Source organism: Homo sapiens, chromosome 19 (assembly GCF_000001405.40).
Source record: "Homo sapiens chromosome 19, GRCh38.p14 Primary Assembly".
Taxonomy (NCBI): domain Eukaryota; kingdom Metazoa; phylum Chordata; class Mammalia; order Primates; family Hominidae; genus Homo; species Homo sapiens.
In genome coordinates, this window is record NC_000019.10 from 6,177,857 (window position 1) to 6,197,150 (window position 19,294).

The following is a 19,294-nucleotide window of genomic DNA, read 5'->3' on the forward strand; positions in this document are numbered from 1 at the left end:
TTGGTACTGAAAGTAAAGAGTGTGTGTGTGTGTGTGTGTGTGTGTGTGTGTGTGTGTGTTTATAAGTCAGTATTCCCAAATCTAAAAAGCTCCAAAAAACAGGAGTTTTTGGCAGCAAAGTCTGATCTGAATTGATAAGATGTTGTTTGTGGTCTTCATTTTATTCCACTTACTGGGATTATGCATATATTTGTAGAATTTTTATACCACCTTTTCTTGACTTATACCCTTTAAGTATTATCTTTTGCCTTTCTATTGTGGTGAGGATTTAGCTCCCTTCCTCTCCCGTCTTCTCATTTCTCCTTCCCCATTCTCTCAACATAAATTATTCTTAGTTAACTGAGCCAAGTAGTTTATCATATGATTCCACTTCCTGCTTGGTACAACTTTTTGTTTTTCCCAGAATTAAGTTGCCTTTCTTTTCCAGTTTGGTGAAGTTTTTGCATACATGTCCAGTTGCTCCATCTGATCTGTCACATGCTTATCAATAGTCTCCAAATGTTCAAATATTCATTGCATTATTATTATTATTATTATTATTTGAGATAGAGTCTTGCTCTGTTGCCCAGGCTGGAGTTACAGTGCCATGATCTCGGCCCACTGCAACCTCTGTCTTCCGGGTTCAAGCAATTCTCGTGCCTTAGCCTCCCAAGTAGCTGGAACTGCAGGCCTGTGCCACCATGCCTGGCTGATTTTTGTATTTTTAGTAGAGATGGGGTTTCACAATTTTGGCCAGACTGGTCTCAAACTCCTGACCTCAGGTGAGCCTTGGCCTCCCAAAGTGCTGGGATTACAGGCATGAGCCACTGCACCCAGCTCCATTGCATTATTTTTTTCCTCCATCCTTTTGCACTTAGCTGGACTGTTGTTTTAGGTTGTCTTAGGTTGGGTACCCTAGAAGCAAAATCTGAGTTGGAGATCTTTGTGATTTATCAATGGGGAGCTCTCAGGTGAAAACCAAAAGGAAGTGAGGAGAGAAGGATAGGCTGGGGGAAAAAACAAGAAAGGACACACATTCAGCTGGATTGTAACTTCAGACTGATCCCATAGGAAGCTCTGAGGCATGAACGACACCAGAGTTGTTCCACTTTGAGGCAAGGAGGCTGTGCTTTTGTAACCCCAACTCAGATAGTCATTGGCTGTGGGCTCAGGCATCCATGTGGGATAGGGAGCATAACTTCCCAGTTATTTCTAAGTAAGGGCGGTTTTCTGGAAAAGAGGGAACTGTGGGCCACTAGAGATCTGATAGGACATCAACAGCATCTTCTACAAGCTGCCATACAGGGATATCCCTTTTTCCCACTCCTGGGTTGGATCCCCTATTTTCTGGGGTCTTTGCCTTCTTTTTTGGATTATTCCTTGATTTAGCTGGATATCATTCATTGGTAGGTTTTGCAAAGTAGTTATGTGAAAGAACACTTTGATTTCTTTTCTAAATTTTTTTTTTTTTTTTTTTTTTTAGAGACAAGGTCGTGCTCTGTTACCCAGCCTGGAATGCAGTGGCATGATCATAGCTTACTGCAGCCTTAAATTCCTGGGCTCAAAGGATCCTCCCACCTCAGCCTCCCCTGTAGCCAGAACTACAGGCATGTGCCACCATGCCTGACTAATTTGTTTTACAGTGATTTTCTACATGTCTAGACTTTGCAAACGGAGCCAGAAAAGAACTCTGACATTTTCCCCAAGTTACATTCTCTGAATTAGTTTCCTGTTAATGCCACAACAAATGAACAGAAACTTAGTGACTTAAAACAATATTTATTTATTTATTTAGAAATGGAGTCTCGTTCTGTCACCCAGGCTGGAGTGCAGTGGCAGTGGCATGATCTCAACTCACTGCAACCTCCACCTCCGGGTTAAACGATTCTCATGTCTCAGTCTCCCAAGCCGGGATTACAGGCGTGCACCACCACGCCCAGCTAATTTTTGTATTTTTAGTAGAGACGGGATTTCACCATGTTGGCAAGGCTGGTCCTGAACTCTTGAACTCAAGTGATCTGCTTGCCTCAGCCTCCCAAAATGCTGGGATTACAGGCATAAGCAAGCGCGCCTGGTCCATTTATTATCTTATAGTTCTGGTGGTCAGAAGTTTGAAAATGGTCTCACTGGGCTAAAATCAATATGTCATCAGGGCTGCATTCCTTCTAGAGGCTCTTGGGGACCTTTTCCAGCTTCTAGAGGCCACCTATGTTCCTTATCTCAGGGCCCCTTCCTCCATCTTCACAGCCAGCAGTGCAGCCTCTTCCCCTCTCCTGCTTCCCTCTTATAAGGACCCTGTGATGACATTGGGCCACCCAGATCATCCAGGATGATCTCCCATCTCAAGATTCTTAACTTAATCCCATCTACAAAGTCCCTTTTGCCATGAAAGATTACATATTCACAGGTCCCAGGAGTTAGAACGTGGACATCTTTAGGGGGCCATTATTTTGCCTCCCACACTCTCCATCAAGCAGGCTAAATCTTAGGGCCTTTGCACGTGCTTCTAGAAGGTTCTTTCTCTTGTTCTTTGCAGGGCTGACTCTTCTTTGTCACTTAGCTCTCTGCTAAATATTTCCTTGGCCCCTCTCAATCCCTCTCATATGCCCCATGCTCAGTGCCTGAGATGTGTTAGGTCTTCAATACATATTTCCTTTCTTGGCTGAATACATAATACATACACATTTACCTACAGGACCTGAGAAGTTCCCATTTTCCCACATCCTTACCAACTCCTAATATTGTCAAAATGTTTACAACTTGTCAATCTGAATAGTGACAAAAGTGTCTTAATATTTTCAGAAATTTCCAGATTGTTTTCTGAAGTACGTGCACCAGAAATGTGCGAAGGTTACAGTTTCTCTACATCTTCACTAACGCATGTTACTATCTGTTTTATTATTATTATTGCCATTCTAATTTGCATTTCCTTGGTGATTAATGATAGTGAGCATCTCTTCATGTGTTTATTGACCATTTACATATCTTCTTTGGAAAAAGAAATCTGTTCAAATAGTTTGCCCATATAAAAATGTGGTTGCTCTTTCTGTGCTAGCATGACTAGTAAAAAGAAAAGTAAAAGCCAGGCACGGCGGCTCACGCCTGTAATCCCAGTACTTTGGGAGGCCAAGGCAGGCAGATTGCTTAAGGTCAAGAGTTTAAGACCAGCCTGGCCAACATGGTGAAACTCCGTCTCCTCCGTCTCTACTAAAAAAAAAAAAAAAAAAGAAAAAGAAAAATTAGCCAGGCGTGGTGGTGTGCACCTGTAAGCCCAGCTACTCAGGAGGCTGAGACAGGAGAATAGCTCAAACCTGGGAGGCAAAGGCTGCAGTGAGCCGAGATGGTACCACTGGACTCCAACCGGGGCAACAGAGGGAGACTGTGTCAAAAAAAAAAAAAAAAAAAGGAAAGGAAAGGAAGGCAAGGGAAGAGAAGGGAGGGGAAGGGAGGGGAGGGGAGGGGAGAAAGAAGGAAAGAAAGGAAGGAGGGAGGAAAAAAGAGGAAGGAAGGAAGGAAGAAAGAAAAAGAAAGAAAGGAGAAAGGAAAAAAATTAAAAATGAAAAAAATTGGTTGCATATCTAATCTCATTGTTGAGTGTTAAGGGTTCTTTATATATTCTGGTTACAAATCCTTTACCAAATTTGTGGTTTGCAAATACTTTCTCCCAGTTCTATGGCTTGTTGTTTCCTCAATAATCTTTTGAAGAGGAAAAAGTGTTTAAGTTGGATGAAGTTTGATTTATCTATTTTCTTTTATGCTTTTGGTATCATATCTAGGAAATCTTTGCCTACTCTAAAGTCACAGGGATTTTCTTCTACGTTTTCTTCCAAAAGGTTTTTAGTTTGAGCTCTTACATTTAGGGCTATAATGCATTTTGAGGTAATTTTCATGTTTGGTGAGAAATAAGGCTCTAACCCTAAATTTTGTGGAAGCGTTTGTTTGTTTTATTTTGTTTTGCATTTGAATAGTCCCCACCCGCCCCCCCCCCCAACGAAATTTCCTTGGCATTTTGTTGAAAATCAACTGAGCATAAATTTAAGGTTTTATTTCTGGATCTTCTATTTTGTTCCACTGATCTGCATCTCTGTCTTTACGCCAAAGCCTCACTGACTTATTACACTAGCTTGATAGCAGGATGGCTAACGTTTCCTGGTTTGCCTGGGACTTCCCCAGTTTTAAAACAGAAAGTTTCACATTTCAGATATTCCTGCAGTTCTGGGTAAACCAGGACGGTTGTTCACCCTACTTTAGAATAAATTTTAAAATCAGGTAGTAAGTCCTCCAATTTTGTCTTTCTTTTCCAAAATTGCTTGGGCTATTCTAGGTCCTCTGCATTTCTATATAAATTTTAAAGTCAGCTTGTCAATTTGTATTTAAAAAAAAAAAAACTTGCCTAGATTTCGATAGGGGTTGCATTGAACCTATAGGTCTCTTTGGGGGAGAATCTTGCATCCTTTTTTAACAGTTGTGTAATATTCCACTGCATGCTTGGACCACAGTTTCTTTAGCCAACCCTTTGTCATTGAACCTGTAAGCTGTTTCCATTCTGTTACAAAACAGTGTTGCAAAGAACGTCTTGAACGTGTTTCTTTGTGTGCCTGAGTCTTTCCTTCAGCTGAATTCCTTCACCCACAGAAGTGAAGTTGACAGGTTGCACTTAAAATGTTAATAGAACTGTCATGTTACCTTCCAAAAATATTTTACCAGTTTATGCCTCTCATCAAATCCCTAGACAGAGTGCAAAAATCTGACTGGCCAACCCAGCTAATGGGTTGTCTCCTTTTGGTTGGGAGTCCTGCGTAATCTGATCAGTGAAGGAATGTTCTCTTGGGCAAAGTTGGGTGGATCAGGAGAGATGGACATCCCTGGTGCACGGAAGGCCCTGCTGTGGCTAACCTAGCTTCGTTCCATACAGGGCACCTTGGTAAGTACTCTAAAGGAGGTAAAACCTACTGTCTTCATTGGAGTGCCTCAAATTTGGGAGAAGATACATGAGATGGTGAAGAAAAATAGTGCCAAGTCCATGGGCTTGAAGAAGAAGGCATTCGTGTGGGCAAGAAACATTGGCTTCAAGGTCAACTCAAAAAAGATGTTGGGGTAGGTGGAGCATCCAGAGGGCTGGGAGGGTAGTTGGTGAGGAGGCTCAGCCTTCTCCAGTGGGTCCCATCAGCCCTTCTCCACTTGACGGCATTCTTATTCACAGGAAATATAATACTCCCGTGAGCTACCGCATGGCTAAGACTCTCGTGTTCAGCAAAGTCAAGACATCCCTTGGCTTGGATCACTGTCACTCTTTTATCAGTGGGACTGCGCCCCTCAACCAAGAGACTGCCGAGTTCTTTCTAAGCTTGGACATACCTATAGGCGAGTTGTATGGGTTGAGTGAGAGCTCGGGACCCCACACGATATCCAACCAGAATAACTACAGGCTTCTAAGGTACCAGCCCCCGGGGCAGACCCCTGCTCCTCCCATAACATGGGGTCAAGAGGGGGAAGGTGGGTGGATAGATGGGCCTCTGGGTTAAGAGGAATCCTGACGTGGTGTCTCCAGAATGATCCTGTTCTCCAGCCTCCAAGTCCTAACTCCGCATGACCGTGGGAAACCCTGGATGGTAAGAGAGCCCACAGATAAGGGGGATGGCTCTCTGAACATTCCATGGTCTCCCCGTTTGTCACTTGTGAGTTCTGCCTTCAAGGTCACCGCCTGTGACCTCAGCACCTTTCATCCCCATGATCCTCCATCTCAAAACACCTCCATGGCCGATTCCTGGCTTTCTCCCAAGCTCAGCTTGCCCTAGGCTGCAAGGTTGAACCCAATGATAAGAAAACTTTAAGAATACCAAATTGAGGTTCAACTCCCCATCTGAGAGCTGTCAGTCATAGAATCTTCTGGTTGTGTCTCTCCCTGACTCCCTCCTTTTAGCATGGGTGAGGTTTGAAAAAATCTTTTCATACATGTGTTTATTTATTAAATTTTAATTAGAGATAGGGTCTCACTTTGTTGCCCAGGCTGGAGTGCAATGGTACAATCATAGATCACTGTAACCTTGAACTTCTGGATTCAAGCATTCCTCCTGCCTCAGCCTCCCAACTAGCTAGGACTACACGCATGAGCCTCCATGCTTGGCAATTCTGTAAAAGTTTTTTTGTAGAGATGGGGTCTTGCCATGTTGCCTAGGCTGGCCTTGAATTCCTGGACTCAAGCAATCCTCAGCCTCCCAAAGCGCTGGGATTACAGGCATGAACCACCATGCCCAGCATTGCCATACATTTAAAAGTCATTTGTACTTCCTTTCCTATGAGCTGTCTGTCCATATTATCTGCCTGTTTTAAAAATTAGATTATTGGTCCCTTTATTATTGGTTTGTTGGCACTCTTTACATATTAGGAAAATCAGCCCTTTGTCTTTCATATGAGTTACAAATATTTTATCCCCTGGCTTGTCATTGGTATTTTGATTTTAGTTAAGATGTTTTTTACTGTGCAGAAATTTGTGGTCACAAATTTAGATGGTTGAACTTATCGATCTCTTATGGCTTCTGGATTTTTCTATATACCTAAAAAGGCTTCAGTGGGGGAAATCATAAGGCAGCTCTTTGTAAGTTTTAAATTTCTCAGGTCTGTCTTCATTTTTTCTTTTGCTAACCAGGGGAATACCTACATTTAACCCTGGGACCATTGGCCTTGCTAACTGTTAATCAAAGAGATCTCAGCAACACACGGAGAAAATATTTCCTTTCCTGCATCCTAGAACTGCACTGGCCAGTGCTATCTCTAGGAAAAAAAAAAAAAAAGACAAAGAACCCAGATTTCAAATAGTGCTACTCTGTTTTATGAAAGTAACTTTTACCTCTAAAGAGATTGTAGTTGGTTGCCGTACTTAAAATTAGCTGTCCTAATCACTGCAGAGAGGTCTACCTGTTTTCTTTAAAATGAGGGTTTTGTTCCTATCTTTAAGCCAAAGGCATTTTTTTCTTTGCCGGCATATGTGGAGATGAAAAAAAAAAAAAAAAAAAAAAAAAAAAAAAAAAAAAAAACGAAAAACAGCCTGCAATGCTGCTGGATTTTCTTTCATTTTTTGTTTTTGTTTTTGTTTTTGTTTTTTGAGACAGAGTCTTGCTCTGTCGCCCAGGCTGGAGTACAGTGGCGTGATCACTACTCACTGCAGCCTTGACCTCCTGGGCTCAGGTGATTCTCCCACCTCAGCCTCCCAAGTAGCTGGGACCACAGGTATGTACCACCATGCCCAACTTTTATTTTTTATTATTTTTGTAGAGACGGGGTCTCCGTATGTTGCCCAGGTTGGTCTTGGAACTCCTGGGCTCGAGCAATATTCCCTCCTCGGCTTTCCAAAGTGTTAAGATTACAGGTGTGAGCCACCACACCTGGCCACTGCTAGGTTTCCCAGTTCACAAAGCCTTTGGGAATCTGACACGCTGGATTAAACACTGCAGCAAACACCTCCTTCTGTGCGCTGGGGTGCATATCCAGCCTGCTCTAGCTGAGCAGAGTATTAGGCACCTAGGCTGAAGATCCAGGCAGAGCTGGGTGGCTGACTTTGTCCCTATGAGCCTGTTTCTCTGCTTCTGTCCCCTGGCAGCTGTGGCAAGATCTTGACTGGGTGTAAGAATATGCTGTTCCAGCAGAACAAGGATGGCATTGGGGAGATCTGCCTCTGGGGTAGGCACATCTTCATGGGCTATCTGGAAAGTGAGACTGAAACTACAGAGGCCATCGATGATGAAGGCTGGCTACACTCTGGGGATCTGGGCCAGCTGGACGGTCTGGGTTTCCTCTATGTCACCGGCCACATCAAAGGTACCAGGGGCTGAGCTCTTTGGGAATCTCCTGCAAGCAGGCCCACCCTGAACATTTAAGGGCCCAGGGTACCAGCACGAAGGCCACCCCCAGTTCCTCACCTTCCAAGAGGAGCTGTGCAGAAACTCCTCAGTCTGTACAACCCAGCTCTATCCTCCTGTCCAGCAAACAGTTACCCCTTGGTCACTTGGTATCCCGTGGTCCACCCTCAGGAGGATGGACCTGCAAAAGACAAGCCTTGGAACCTCCTGAAGCCCCTTTCAGAATAGCACCAGCCCAGAGGAAAACTCAGTAAGAGAAGGATAAAGAAATTCCTTGTGACATCATTTTGGCACCTGGATCCAGCCATATCTGAAAGCCAAAGACCTTTTGAACTTTTCAGTTATATTGAGCCAACAGTTTTACTTTTTTTTTTTTTTAACTCAAACTCATTCAAGCTGGTTCAAATGGGCTTGAGTAAAAAAGTGCCATCTTCTCCTGCATTTTAAGAGGATAATAATCGACAGAGTTGTAAGGATTGAAGAAAGTATAGAACAAGGATAAGCCAACTTTTCCTGAAGAGGGCCCTTTAGTAAATATTTTTGGGTTCACAAAACATGTGTCTCTGTTGTAGCTTCTCAACTCTGTGATTTGTAGCACAAAAACAGCTGTTGACAACACATAAAGAATGGGTGTGGCCAGCTGCCAATATGAATATCATAATTTTTATGTGTCAAAAAAAATTCTTCTTTTGACTTCCAACAACTTAAAAATGTAAAATTCATTTTTAGCTTTTGGTTATACAAAATTGAATAGTGGCCTGGATTTGGCCACTATGGGCCATAGTTTGCCAAAATCTGATGGAGAACACTTAGTGCTTTTTTACTCAAACCCATTTAAGATGGGTTTAAATAGGTTTGAGGAAAAAAATAAAAAGCAAAACTGTTGACTCAACGTAACTGAAAAGGTCAGTTGGCCAAAAGGTCAGCTGGCTTCAGGCATGGCTGGATCTGGGTGCCAAAATGAGGTCATAAGGAATTTTAAAATTCTTTTCTTGAGTTTTCCTCTGTGCTGGTACTATTTTATTTTTCAGAGAAGGTCTCGCTCTGTTGGCCAGGCTGGAATGCAGTGGTCCAATTATGACTCACTGTGGCCTCAACTTCCCAGGCTCAGGTGATTCTCCCACCTCAGCCTCCTGAGTAACTAGGACTACAGGCGTGTGCCACCACACCCGGCTATTTTTTTGCAGAGACCCAATTTCACTGTGTTGCCCAGGTTGGTCTAGCACTTGTGGGCTCAAGTGATCTGCCCACCTCAGCCTCCCAAAGTGGCAGGATTACAGGTGTGAGCCACTGTGCCTGGCCACTAGGTTTTTTTTTTTTTTTTTTTGAGATGGTGTTTCACTCTTGTTGCCCAGGTTGGAGTGCGGTGGCATGATCTCAGCTCACTGCAACCTCCGCCTCCCAGGTTCAAGTGATTCTCCTGCCTCAACCTCCCGAGTAGCTGGGATTACAGGTGCACACCACCAAACCTGGCTAATTTTTGTATATTTAGTAGAGACGGGGTTTCACCATGTTGGCCAGGCTGGTCTCAAACTGGGGGTTCCACGTTGTCATGGCTGGACATGTACCAAGCCAAGCTCTGTTCCAGAAATCCTTATCACTGCTGGTGGTGAAAATGTGCCCCCCATTCCTGTTGAGACCTTGGTTAAGAAGAAGATCCCCATCATCAGTAACGCCATGTTAGTAGGAGATAAACTGAAGTTTCTGAGCATGTTGCTGACGCTGAAGGTAACATGGGTTTGCTGTCATTGGGGGAAGTCTCTGCAGCCGGTCTTGGGTTCCCTGGCCCCACCCCAGGGTCAAGAGGATGCATCTGTGGGTTCAAGACCCACTTCTTGGTCTGTGGGCCTGGGGAGGGGTGCTGGTCAAGGAGCATGGGTGGTGACAGAGGTGTCTGGGGGCAGTGTGAGATGAATCAGATGAGCGGAGAACCTCTGGACAAGCTGAACTTCGAGGCCATCAACTTCTGTCGGGGTCTGGGCAGCCAGGCATCCACCGTGACTGAGATTGTGAAGCAGCAAGACCCCCTGGTCTACAAGGCCATCCAGCAAGGCATCAATGCTGTGAACCAGGAAGCCATGAACAATGCACAGAGGATTGAAAAGTGGGTCATCTTGGAGAAGGACTTTTCCATCTATGGTGGAGAGCTAGGTGAGTGGCCATGACATTTGGAGGCTGGTCCCTTGTTAGCATCTGGGACTGTGTGGGCTCTGAAGAGACAGGTCCTTTTCTGAAGGTCAGAGGGTCTATGAAACCAGCCAGGGACCAGGAGAGGGAGGCTGCCACCTTCAGCTAACTGGTCCCCAGCTCCTCATCTTGGAAATAAAATCCAACCTCCTTACTATAGCTCTATACAATCTCTCGCCTGCTGACCTTTCATTCACTCTGCACCAACTCTATGGGCTTTCTTGATGTTCCTGCAGCTCTCTGGGCTTTGTCCAACTATAGGGCCTTTGCACCTGCCAGTCTGCCTCCCTGGGAATACCCTTCCCCCTCAATTCCTTGCCTGGATGGCTTCTTCTCATTGTCCAGGTCTCACCCTACAGGCCTCTTCCCCCTCAGAGCAGCCTTGTTACAGGACCCCCAGGTTTGTATGCCCACTGCACAGTAATATACCAATACACTGAGACAGCAGGGGATGCAGCAAAGACAGAGTTTAATTATGGCCAGGCACAGTGGCTCACGCCTGTAATCCCAACACTTTGGGAGGCTGAGTTGGGCAGACTGCTTGAGCCCAGGAGTTTGAGACCAACCTGGGCAACATGGTGAAATCCTAACTCTACACAAAATACAAAAATTAGCTGGGTATGGTAGCGGTGCCCAGCTACTCAGGAGACTGAGAGGATCGCTTGAGCCCAGGGAGGTCAAGGCTGCAGTGAGCCACAATCATGCCAGTGCACTCCAGCCTAGGCAATGCAGTGAGACCCTGTCTCAAAAACAAAAAACAAACAAACAAAAATAAAAAAGGAAATTAAATTCCCTTGCAGGGAAGCCAACCGAGATGGAAGGAACCCTCAAATCTCTCTTTGAGGAATTCTGGGCTGGGGTTTTAAGGGGATCTTTGGGGGTGAAGGGCTGGAAAATTAGAGTCATTGATTGGTTGAGGTAAAGGGGATGAAATCATCGGATGTGGAAGCTGCATTCTTTGGTAAGTCAGCTCCCGTGGGGTCCTTCAGATCAGTGGGCATCAGTAGTTTCACTGGTATGCAGGACTTGAAAGGATATCTCAGATGGAAAACTTGACCTTTCACAATGCTTAATATGTTATCTGTAGAGCAGTTAAGGGGAACTATATCTTGTGATTGGGTTTTTTGTGTGTGTGTGATTCTGGGGCAATAGGCAAACAGCTAGCTATGAGGAAGGGGTTAGAGAGCAAACTGACCTAATGATGAATGTTGAGTGTGCTGTAAGTGTGGCTGATTTTAGTTTGTCCCCCTCCCTTCTTCTCTGATTAATATTATAAAGTTTTCAGGGATGGTTTCAGCCCTCCCTGACCATGCTGGCTAAAGTGGCTTGCCATCGTCCTTAATATTTCACCCAGTAGCTTGCTGCCACCCCCATTATACCACCCTGTCTTCTTTAAAGCATCAGAACATGAAATTAGTCTCTGTATGTTTTATTTTTGCCTCTCTTCCCCCATGAGGGAAGGGCTCACTCCAGAGTGGGGATACTGGATTCTACTAATGTACTTTCATTTGCGAGTTTGCTGTCAGCGCTCGGCTGTAATCTGACGGTGTGGATGGAAGAATCAGAGCAAGTATGTGGCAATGAACAACCTGGGTTCAAATCCTGTCCCCTCTACACAGGGAAGTGACTTGTCCCACTGAGTCTTGTTTTTTTTTTGTTTGTTTTGAGACAGAGTCTTGCTCTGTTACCCAGGTTGGAGTACGATGGCACAATCACAGCTTGCTGCTGCAGCCTTGAACTCCCAGGCTCAAGCGATCCTCCCACCTCAGCCTCCTGAGTAGCTGGGATGAGTGCGCGCCACCATGCGTGGCTATTTTCTTTCTTTCTTTCTTTCTTTTTTTTTTTTGAGACGGAGTTTTACTCTGTCGCCAGGCTGGAGTGCAGTGGCGCAATCTCGGCTCACTGCAACCTCCACTTCCCAGGTTCAAGCGATTTTCCTGCCTCAGCCTCCCGAGTAGCTGGGACTACAGGTGCGTGCCACCACGTCCAGCTAATTTTTTGTATTTTTAGTAGAGACAGGGTTTCACCATTTTGGCCAGGATGGTCTTGATCTCTTGACCTCGTGATCAACCCGCCTTGGCCTCCCAAAGTGCTGGGATTACAGGCGTGAGCCACCGTGCCTGGCCGCTATCCTCTTTTTGTTTTGTAGAGATGGTGTTTTGCCATGTTGTCCAGGCTGGTGGTCTTCTCATCTATAAGTTGAAAACACAGTCCTTGTGGGGTTGCTTGAGACACCCAGAGGGGCTTCAATGCCCCTGGTGACTCAGAGGCTTTCAATGAAAGTCCTGGGCTCAGGGAGCAGACAACTCCCAGTTTGAGACTTGATTCTGCCGTGCACTTGCTGGCTGACCTCAGAGGAACTGGTCCTCTCTATGCCCCAGTTTCCTCACCTGTAAAATGGGGATAGGGGTATGGTTTGAGATGATGATATCCCTCCTCCATTGGGTGCACAGTCCACATCAGGCACAGAATGCACCATGCTCTTCACCTTCCAGCTCACAGAATCCTCACCACAGCTGAAGGATCACATGGAAGTTTTATCATCCCCATACAGATGGCAAAAGTTACACACCCTGAAAGTCAATGGCACAGCCAGCCACCCAGCCTAGCCCCAGGCATGGGACTCTGTTGCCTGGTCATGCATGGGTGTGTGTAATTTTCTTTTATCTCCACAACTCAATTGATTTCTCCTTTCTCGATAGGTCCAATGATGAAACTTAAGAGACATTTTGTAGCCCAGAAATACAAAAAACAAATTGATCACATGTACCACTGACTGCTTTGATGGAGCTGCTCTCAGCTGTTCTGATGGTGAGATTCAGTTGCTTGGCTTTGCTGGGCTATGCATTCAGAGTCCAAGAGAGGGCTCCACTGTGTGGCAGGCAGATCTGTGACTGGAACTGCAGAAAACACACACATACACACATACATACACACACACACACACACACACACACACACACACACACACTCTTAGTTGCAGTGGATTCTGAGTAGCAGGCTTCAACTCATGCTGTCTCTACTCTACCAGGGTCATGGTAGGGTGTGTAAACTCCTTCAGCTGGCCACCAATGTTGTTAGCTGTGCTTCCTGCCTTTTCTATTTGTTTCTAGAAAGTAGGAGGCAATGAATCCCAAATGTCTCATTGGGTCTTATTTGGAGAAGGCCTTTGTCAGAAACTTTAGTGGAGAAAGTTCTACTTGCCAGGAACTCAAGGAATGAGGTGTGTTGGCCCATTACACAGATAATAAGGGATGGAGGCTTGAACTTCCACTATCCACCGTTTATCCTCTCTTTTCCCCAAGACATGTGCAGAGGGAGCCTCCATGACACCATGAATCACTGATAGTTATTGAGGTGTTTTTTTTTTTTTTCTTCACTAGATGCACAGTGCAGGCAGAAAGTAGAATGCATCTTCAATTGTCCTATAGGCTGCCTGTAACCTTTTCATGGGCAACTTGTTCTAATGCCACCAGCCAACCCATGTTTTAGTTTGCTGGGGCTACATTACAAAGTACCACAGACTGGAGGGCTTAAACAACATAAACTTATTGTCTCACAGATCTGGAGGCTAAAAGTGTGAGATTGAGAGGCTGGCTGGCTTGGTTCCTTCTGAGGGCTGTGAGGGGAGGATCCATTCCAGACTTCTCTCCTTGGCTTGCTGATGGCTGTCTTCTCTCTCTGTCTTCACATCATCTTCCCTCTGGGTGTCACTGTGTTCAAATTTCCCTTTTATAGGGACAGGTTAGTAAGATTAGGGCCCACCCTTATGACCTCGTTTTAACTTCTATAATGATCTAGTTTCCAAATAAGTTACACCCTGAAGTACTAAAGGTTAGGACTTCAACATGTGAATTGTGGAGGGATACAACTCAGCTTGTAACTCATCATATCCATTGTCCTTTGTTCAACGTTAACTGGTTTAACCCTTCCACACCTTCATTTGTTGATGTCTTGTGGGTGGGCCCAGCAGTTCAACGTACCACATTCATAATTCTTCATCTTTCACAAGATTTCCAATTTCACTTTCCAGTTGAATGAGAAACCATTGGACATTGATGTGGGAGTGAGAGATGGACCCTCTTACACCAGTGCTGTCCAATATGGCAGCCACTGGCCACTATGTGGTCTGTCCAAACCAAGATGTGCTGTAATACATAAAACACACTGGGCTTCAAAAGCACAGCACCAAAAAAAAAAAAAAAAAAAAAAAAATAGAATATACAATATCTCATCAGTATTTTAAAATTTTGATTACATGTTGAGATGATATTTTGGAATACCGGGTTACGTAAAATATTTATTATTAAAAGTAATTTTACCAGTTTTAAATTTTTATTTACTTTTTAGAGACAGGGTCTTGCTCTGTTGCTCAGGCTAGAGTGCAGTGGTGCATTCATACCTAATGTTTTAAATGTTTTTGTAGAGATGAGGTATTTCTATGTTGCCCAGGTTGGTCTCAAACTCCTGGCCTCAAGCGATCCTCCTGCTTCAGCTTCACAAAGTGCTGTGATTACAAGTGTGAGCCACTGTGCCTGGCCAAGTTCCTTTTTTAAAAATGTAGCTGCTATACATTGTTAAATTGCATAGGTGGCTCCAGTAATGTTTCTTGTGGATAGTGCCACTCTAAAGTTCATTGTGGGGAGATTTTGGGTGACAGCCAATTTATAAATGGATCGATTCACTCGGGAATATTTTCATCATATGGTGACTGTGGGATCTTGGAGACTGAATGCACATATTACGAGAATCCCCATGTGATAACTTGTGTTTCTCCTCTTTGCAGCCTTCAGCAGGAAGACCTCATTGCAATAAGTGAAATGCTGCTCTAGGTAGAAGCTCTCCCTGCTGTTTTTAAGAAGCCACATTCCTCATTGGTCAGTTTCTTGATTGTTCGTCTGTTGGAGAGGTGCTCCCTAGAAGAACCTGCCATACGTTTCAAAGCAATAAAATCACTGTATATCTTTCTAAGGACCTTCAAGTCATGACTCCAGGGAAGCCTATTGGGAAGTCTACTAAAAACTGCCTGATTTACAAGAAAGACCTGAACTTGTGGGCTCCCATTTGATTTTTTTCTCCTCAGGGGACTCAGACATTAGAAAGAAAAAGCCTCACAGATTTGAAGAACTGGACCCCCAAATCAACTCACCTGCCTGGAAGCAACTGGGAAACCCTTCCAATAAGTCCTGATAATAAAGCACTTCAGGGTCCCATGTCTTGATTTTTGGCTTGATAGAAATACTTTGTCCTTTATTTAGTGTGATGGGGAGGGCTTGGACTCTGAAATCAGTTCTGGGTTCAAATTGTGACCAGCTGTGATTTCAACTGTCTGAGGCTCGGAGATTTTAAACCTGGAAAGTAGATCCCCATCTCGGAGGGTGGCCATGGAAGTTCATGGAGATGATGTACAGGGAATGCAGTATCTAACTCCAGAAAGTCCTCGGTTTGAGTTAATGGTTATCATCAACACAGTCACTCTTGGTTAACTCAAGAGTCAAGGTATGACTCTTGACTAATTCCGTCATTAGGGAGGAGTTTTCTGTTGTAGTAAGTTAAGTAAACTTAAAGAAGATAGTTTATTCCTCTCCCATCCAACAGTCATATTATAAGCAGACCAGAGCTGATAAAGCATATTCATAGTGTGTCTCCGAAATATTAGTAGGGAGAGTGGGAGAGGGAACATCTCCCAGCCTGGACAGAAACAGCATATCAGGAGCAACAAAACTCCCAGTGTCTCTTAAGCTTCTAGATACTCAGAGGCAGGCCAGAGACCCTTTTGAGTTCCATTTTTTAAATACACCAGAAATTTAAAATGACATTCTCCTTGCAAAAAAAAAAAATTAATGCAATGCCGATAAGGCTAATGTCATATTTGATTGCTGTACTAGGCCATTATTGCACTGTTATAAAGAAATACCTGAGATGGGGTCATTTATAAAGAAAAGAGGTTTAATTAATTAGCTCATGGTTCTACAGGCTTTATAGAAAGTATGGTGCTGGTGCCTGTTCAGCTTCTGGTGAAGCCTCAGGGAGCTCACAATCATAGCGGAGGGCAAAAGGGGAGCAGGCATGTCGCATGGCGAAAGCAGTTGCAAGCCAGAGGGAGTGCCACACATTTTTAAATGACCAGATCTTTTGAGAACACACTATCGTGAAGACAGCCCCAAGCCATGAGGGATCCGCCCCCCTGCCATGACCCAAACACCTCCACCAGGCCCCACCTCCAGCACAGGGGATTACAGTGCAACATGAGATTTGGGCAGGGACAAATATCCAAACCACATCAATGGCCCTCCTCAACTATTTGGCGGGCTTTTACTTTTTAATGAGTTAGTACAGTTGGTCCTCACTATCTGCCAATTCCATATTTGCAAATTTGCCTCATCGCTAGAATTTGCTTGTAAACCCCAAATCAATAGTTATGGCACTTTAGAGGTCATTCCAGGACATACACAGGAGTGAAAAATTTGAGTGGCCAACTGTACATTCCCAGCTGAGGTTGAACAAGGCAACACTCTGGCTTCCTGTTTCAGCTCTCACACTGTAAACAGTGCCCTTTCTGAGGTATATCTCATGCCACATTTTCTGCATTTTCATGTTTCTGTTAGTAAACCTTTTTGAGTTTTTTAAAAATAGAGACAGGGCCTCACTCTGTCACCCAGGCTGGAGTGCACTGGTGTGATCTCAGCTCACTGTAACTTCAAATTCCTGGGCTCAAGGGATCCTCTCCTGTCTTGGCCTCCCAAAGCACTGGGGTTACAGGTATGAGCCACTGAACTCAGCCAAACCCTTCTAATTTTATCCATGACTACACTGTACAATTTTTGGTCAATATAATTCTATTTTATAGTTTTTGTTTCTACTGTCCATGTGATCTCCCCACTTGTAGGTTTTCTAGGTAGTTAATGTTGGTATATGGAAGTGCTGTTGATTTTTGTATGTTAATATTATATCTAGACACCTCACTGCTAACCTATTTCTCAAAATGTGTAAGCTTTTTACAGAGATGTGCATATCTTTTGCAAATATTTTTTTACTTCCTTTTCAATATTGATTCCTCATCAAGGAAATACAAATGGTTGATCATGTCAAGTGAGGGAAGCTCGAATACAGGAGAGGAATGTATGTATTTTCTATAATGATTCTCACCCTGGTCTCACTGTTCTCTTAATGTTCTCTCAATGTTTTTTGAGAAACGACAAGAATCTACTAATGTCAGGAAGGCTTTTAAAATTTAACTGTGGTAAAATATATGTAACATAAAATGTGTCATTTTAACCCTTTTTTAGTACACAGTTCGGTGGCATTAAGCACATTCACATTGTTGTACAACCATCAACACGACGCATTTCTAGAAGTTTCATCTCTTCAAACTGAAACTTTATATCCATCAAACAATTCCCCATTTCCCCTTCCCCTGAAAGCTATCATTCTATTTTCTGTCTCTTGAATTTTACTACTTTAAGCACCTTAAAAGTGAAATTGTCGGCCGGGCATGGTGGCTCATGCCTGTAATCCCAGCACTCTGAGAAGCCGAGGCGGGTGGATCATGAGGTCAGGAGTTCGAGACCAGCCCAGCCAATACGGCGAAACCCCGTCTCTACAAAAAATACAAAAATTAGCTGGGCGTGGTGGTGCATGCCTGTAGTCCCAGCTGCTCAGGAGGCTGAGGCAGAACAATCACTTGAACCTGGGAGGTGGAGGTTGCAGTGAGCTGAGATCATGCCACTGCACTCCAGCCTCGGGAACAGAGCAAGACTCCATCTCAAAAAAAAAAAAAAAAAGTGATAATGTAAGAATATTTGCCATTTTCTGACTGGCTTATTTAACTGAGGATAATGTCTTCAAGGGTCATCCTTTTTTAAAGTTTTTTCAATTTTTTTAACAATTTTTTAAAAATAGAGACAGGGTCTCCCTATGTTGCCCAGGCTGGTCTTGAACTCCTGGCCTCAACTGATCCTCCCATCTCAGCCCCTCAAAGTGTTGGGATCACAGGTGTGAGCCACCACACCTGGCCTCATCCATGTTTAGCATGTGTTAAAATTTCTTTTTTCAGGCTGAATATTTCATCATGTATGTACACATGTGTGTGTGTGTATGTACACATATATACGTGGATAAATTTATCCATTCATCCATCAATAGACACTTGGGTTGCTTCCACCTTTTGGCTCTTGTGAATCATGCTTCTATGTATATGGGTCCATGGCATGGTTCAGGGTCCATGGCAAAAACGCACTCAACGCCCAGAAAAGAAACCATGGGTGTATAAATATCTCTTCACGCCCCTGCTTTCAATTATGCTTGGTGGGCAAATGAATTCATAAACCCCCAGGCACAGTGACTCAAAGTCCTTCTCTAACTCAACCTTCTGGGAGCCCAGGGCTCTGCTTCCTTGACCTCGATGATGCCCACACCTTATTTACCTCCTCCATCTCACCACTCTTCTTCCAGCTCCCTTGGGAACTCTCTCACTCAACCTCAACAATGTAGAACAGTGACTCTGGAATCCCTCCTGCTGCCAGACTTGCCCCTGGCTCCTCCCTGGGGACTGTCACCTTGCAGACCACTGGCTTGTCAGGGCAGTGAAGGGCCTTCTTGGGTAGACCCTCCCTGCCCGCTAAAACTGGCCTCTACAAAGAGGCAATGGGCCATGTCCCCATCATGGCTCTGGGCCACGGGATACACAGTGATGGCACCAGGCTGGCCATGGACAGGAACATTCTGGATGTCTGGTCTAGGGACCACTGTCCCCCTGTGGCTAGAACGGGGGGAGTGATCAAGCTGATAAAAAGGTAGAGTCCAGAGGCCGGGCATGGTGGCTCATGCCTTTAATCCCAGCACTTTAGGAGGCTGAGGTGGGTGGATCACGAGGTCAGGAGGTTGAGACCATCCTGGCTAACACGGTGAAACCCTGTCTCTACTAAAAATACAAAAAATTAGCCGGGCATGGTGGCGGGCGCTTGTAGTCCCAGCTACTTGGGAGGCTGAGGCAGGAGAATGGTGTGAACCCGGGAGGCGGAGCTTGCAGTGAGCCAAGATTGCGCCACTGCACTCCAGCCTGGGCGACAGAGCTAGACTCTGTCTCAAAAAAAAAAAAGGTAGAGTCCAGAGGCCGGGCATGGTGGCTCATGCCTGTAATCCCAGCACTTTGGGAGGCTGAGGCGGGTGGATCACGAGGTCAGGAGGTTGACACCATCCTGGCTAACACAGTGAAACCCCATCTCTACTAAAAATACAAAAAATTAGCCGGGCATGGTGGCGGGCGC

The 19,294-nt window shown here is 44.6% G+C and overlaps 1 protein-coding gene and 1 long non-coding RNA gene across 14 annotated transcripts in view; one reads left to right on the plus strand and one right to left on the minus strand.

The window, feature by feature from the left end:
* ACSBG2 (acyl-CoA synthetase bubblegum family member 2) overlaps positions 1 to 15,235 on the plus strand; it is a 57,459-nt gene extending 42,224 nt beyond the window's left edge. For 5 of the 12 annotated variants that reach the window (NM_001289180.2, NM_001289177.2, NM_030924.5 and 2 more), the window contains exons 9-15: positions 4,895 to 5,076; positions 5,183 to 5,416; positions 7,580 to 7,797; positions 9,427 to 9,566; positions 9,743 to 9,989; positions 12,728 to 12,836; positions 14,812 to 15,235. In NM_001289180.2, the coding sequence (NP_001276109.1) occupies positions 4,895 to 5,076; positions 5,183 to 5,416; positions 7,580 to 7,797; positions 9,427 to 9,566; positions 9,743 to 9,989; positions 12,728 to 12,801 (1,095 nt within the window). In that variant the 3' untranslated portion in view covers positions 12,802 to 12,836; positions 14,812 to 15,235. Of the gene's footprint in view, positions 1 to 4,894; positions 5,077 to 5,182; positions 5,417 to 7,579; positions 7,798 to 9,426; positions 9,567 to 9,742; positions 9,990 to 12,727; positions 12,837 to 14,811 lie in introns of those variants that run through there. The other 7 variants (XM_047439477.1, XM_017027332.3, XM_047439478.1 and 4 more) reach the window with 4 other exon arrangements.
* The window catches only part of LOC105372255 (uncharacterized), a 74,099-nt gene that overhangs the window by 52,431 nt on the left and 2,374 nt on the right, over positions 1 to 19,294 (minus strand). The window lies entirely within an intron of this gene.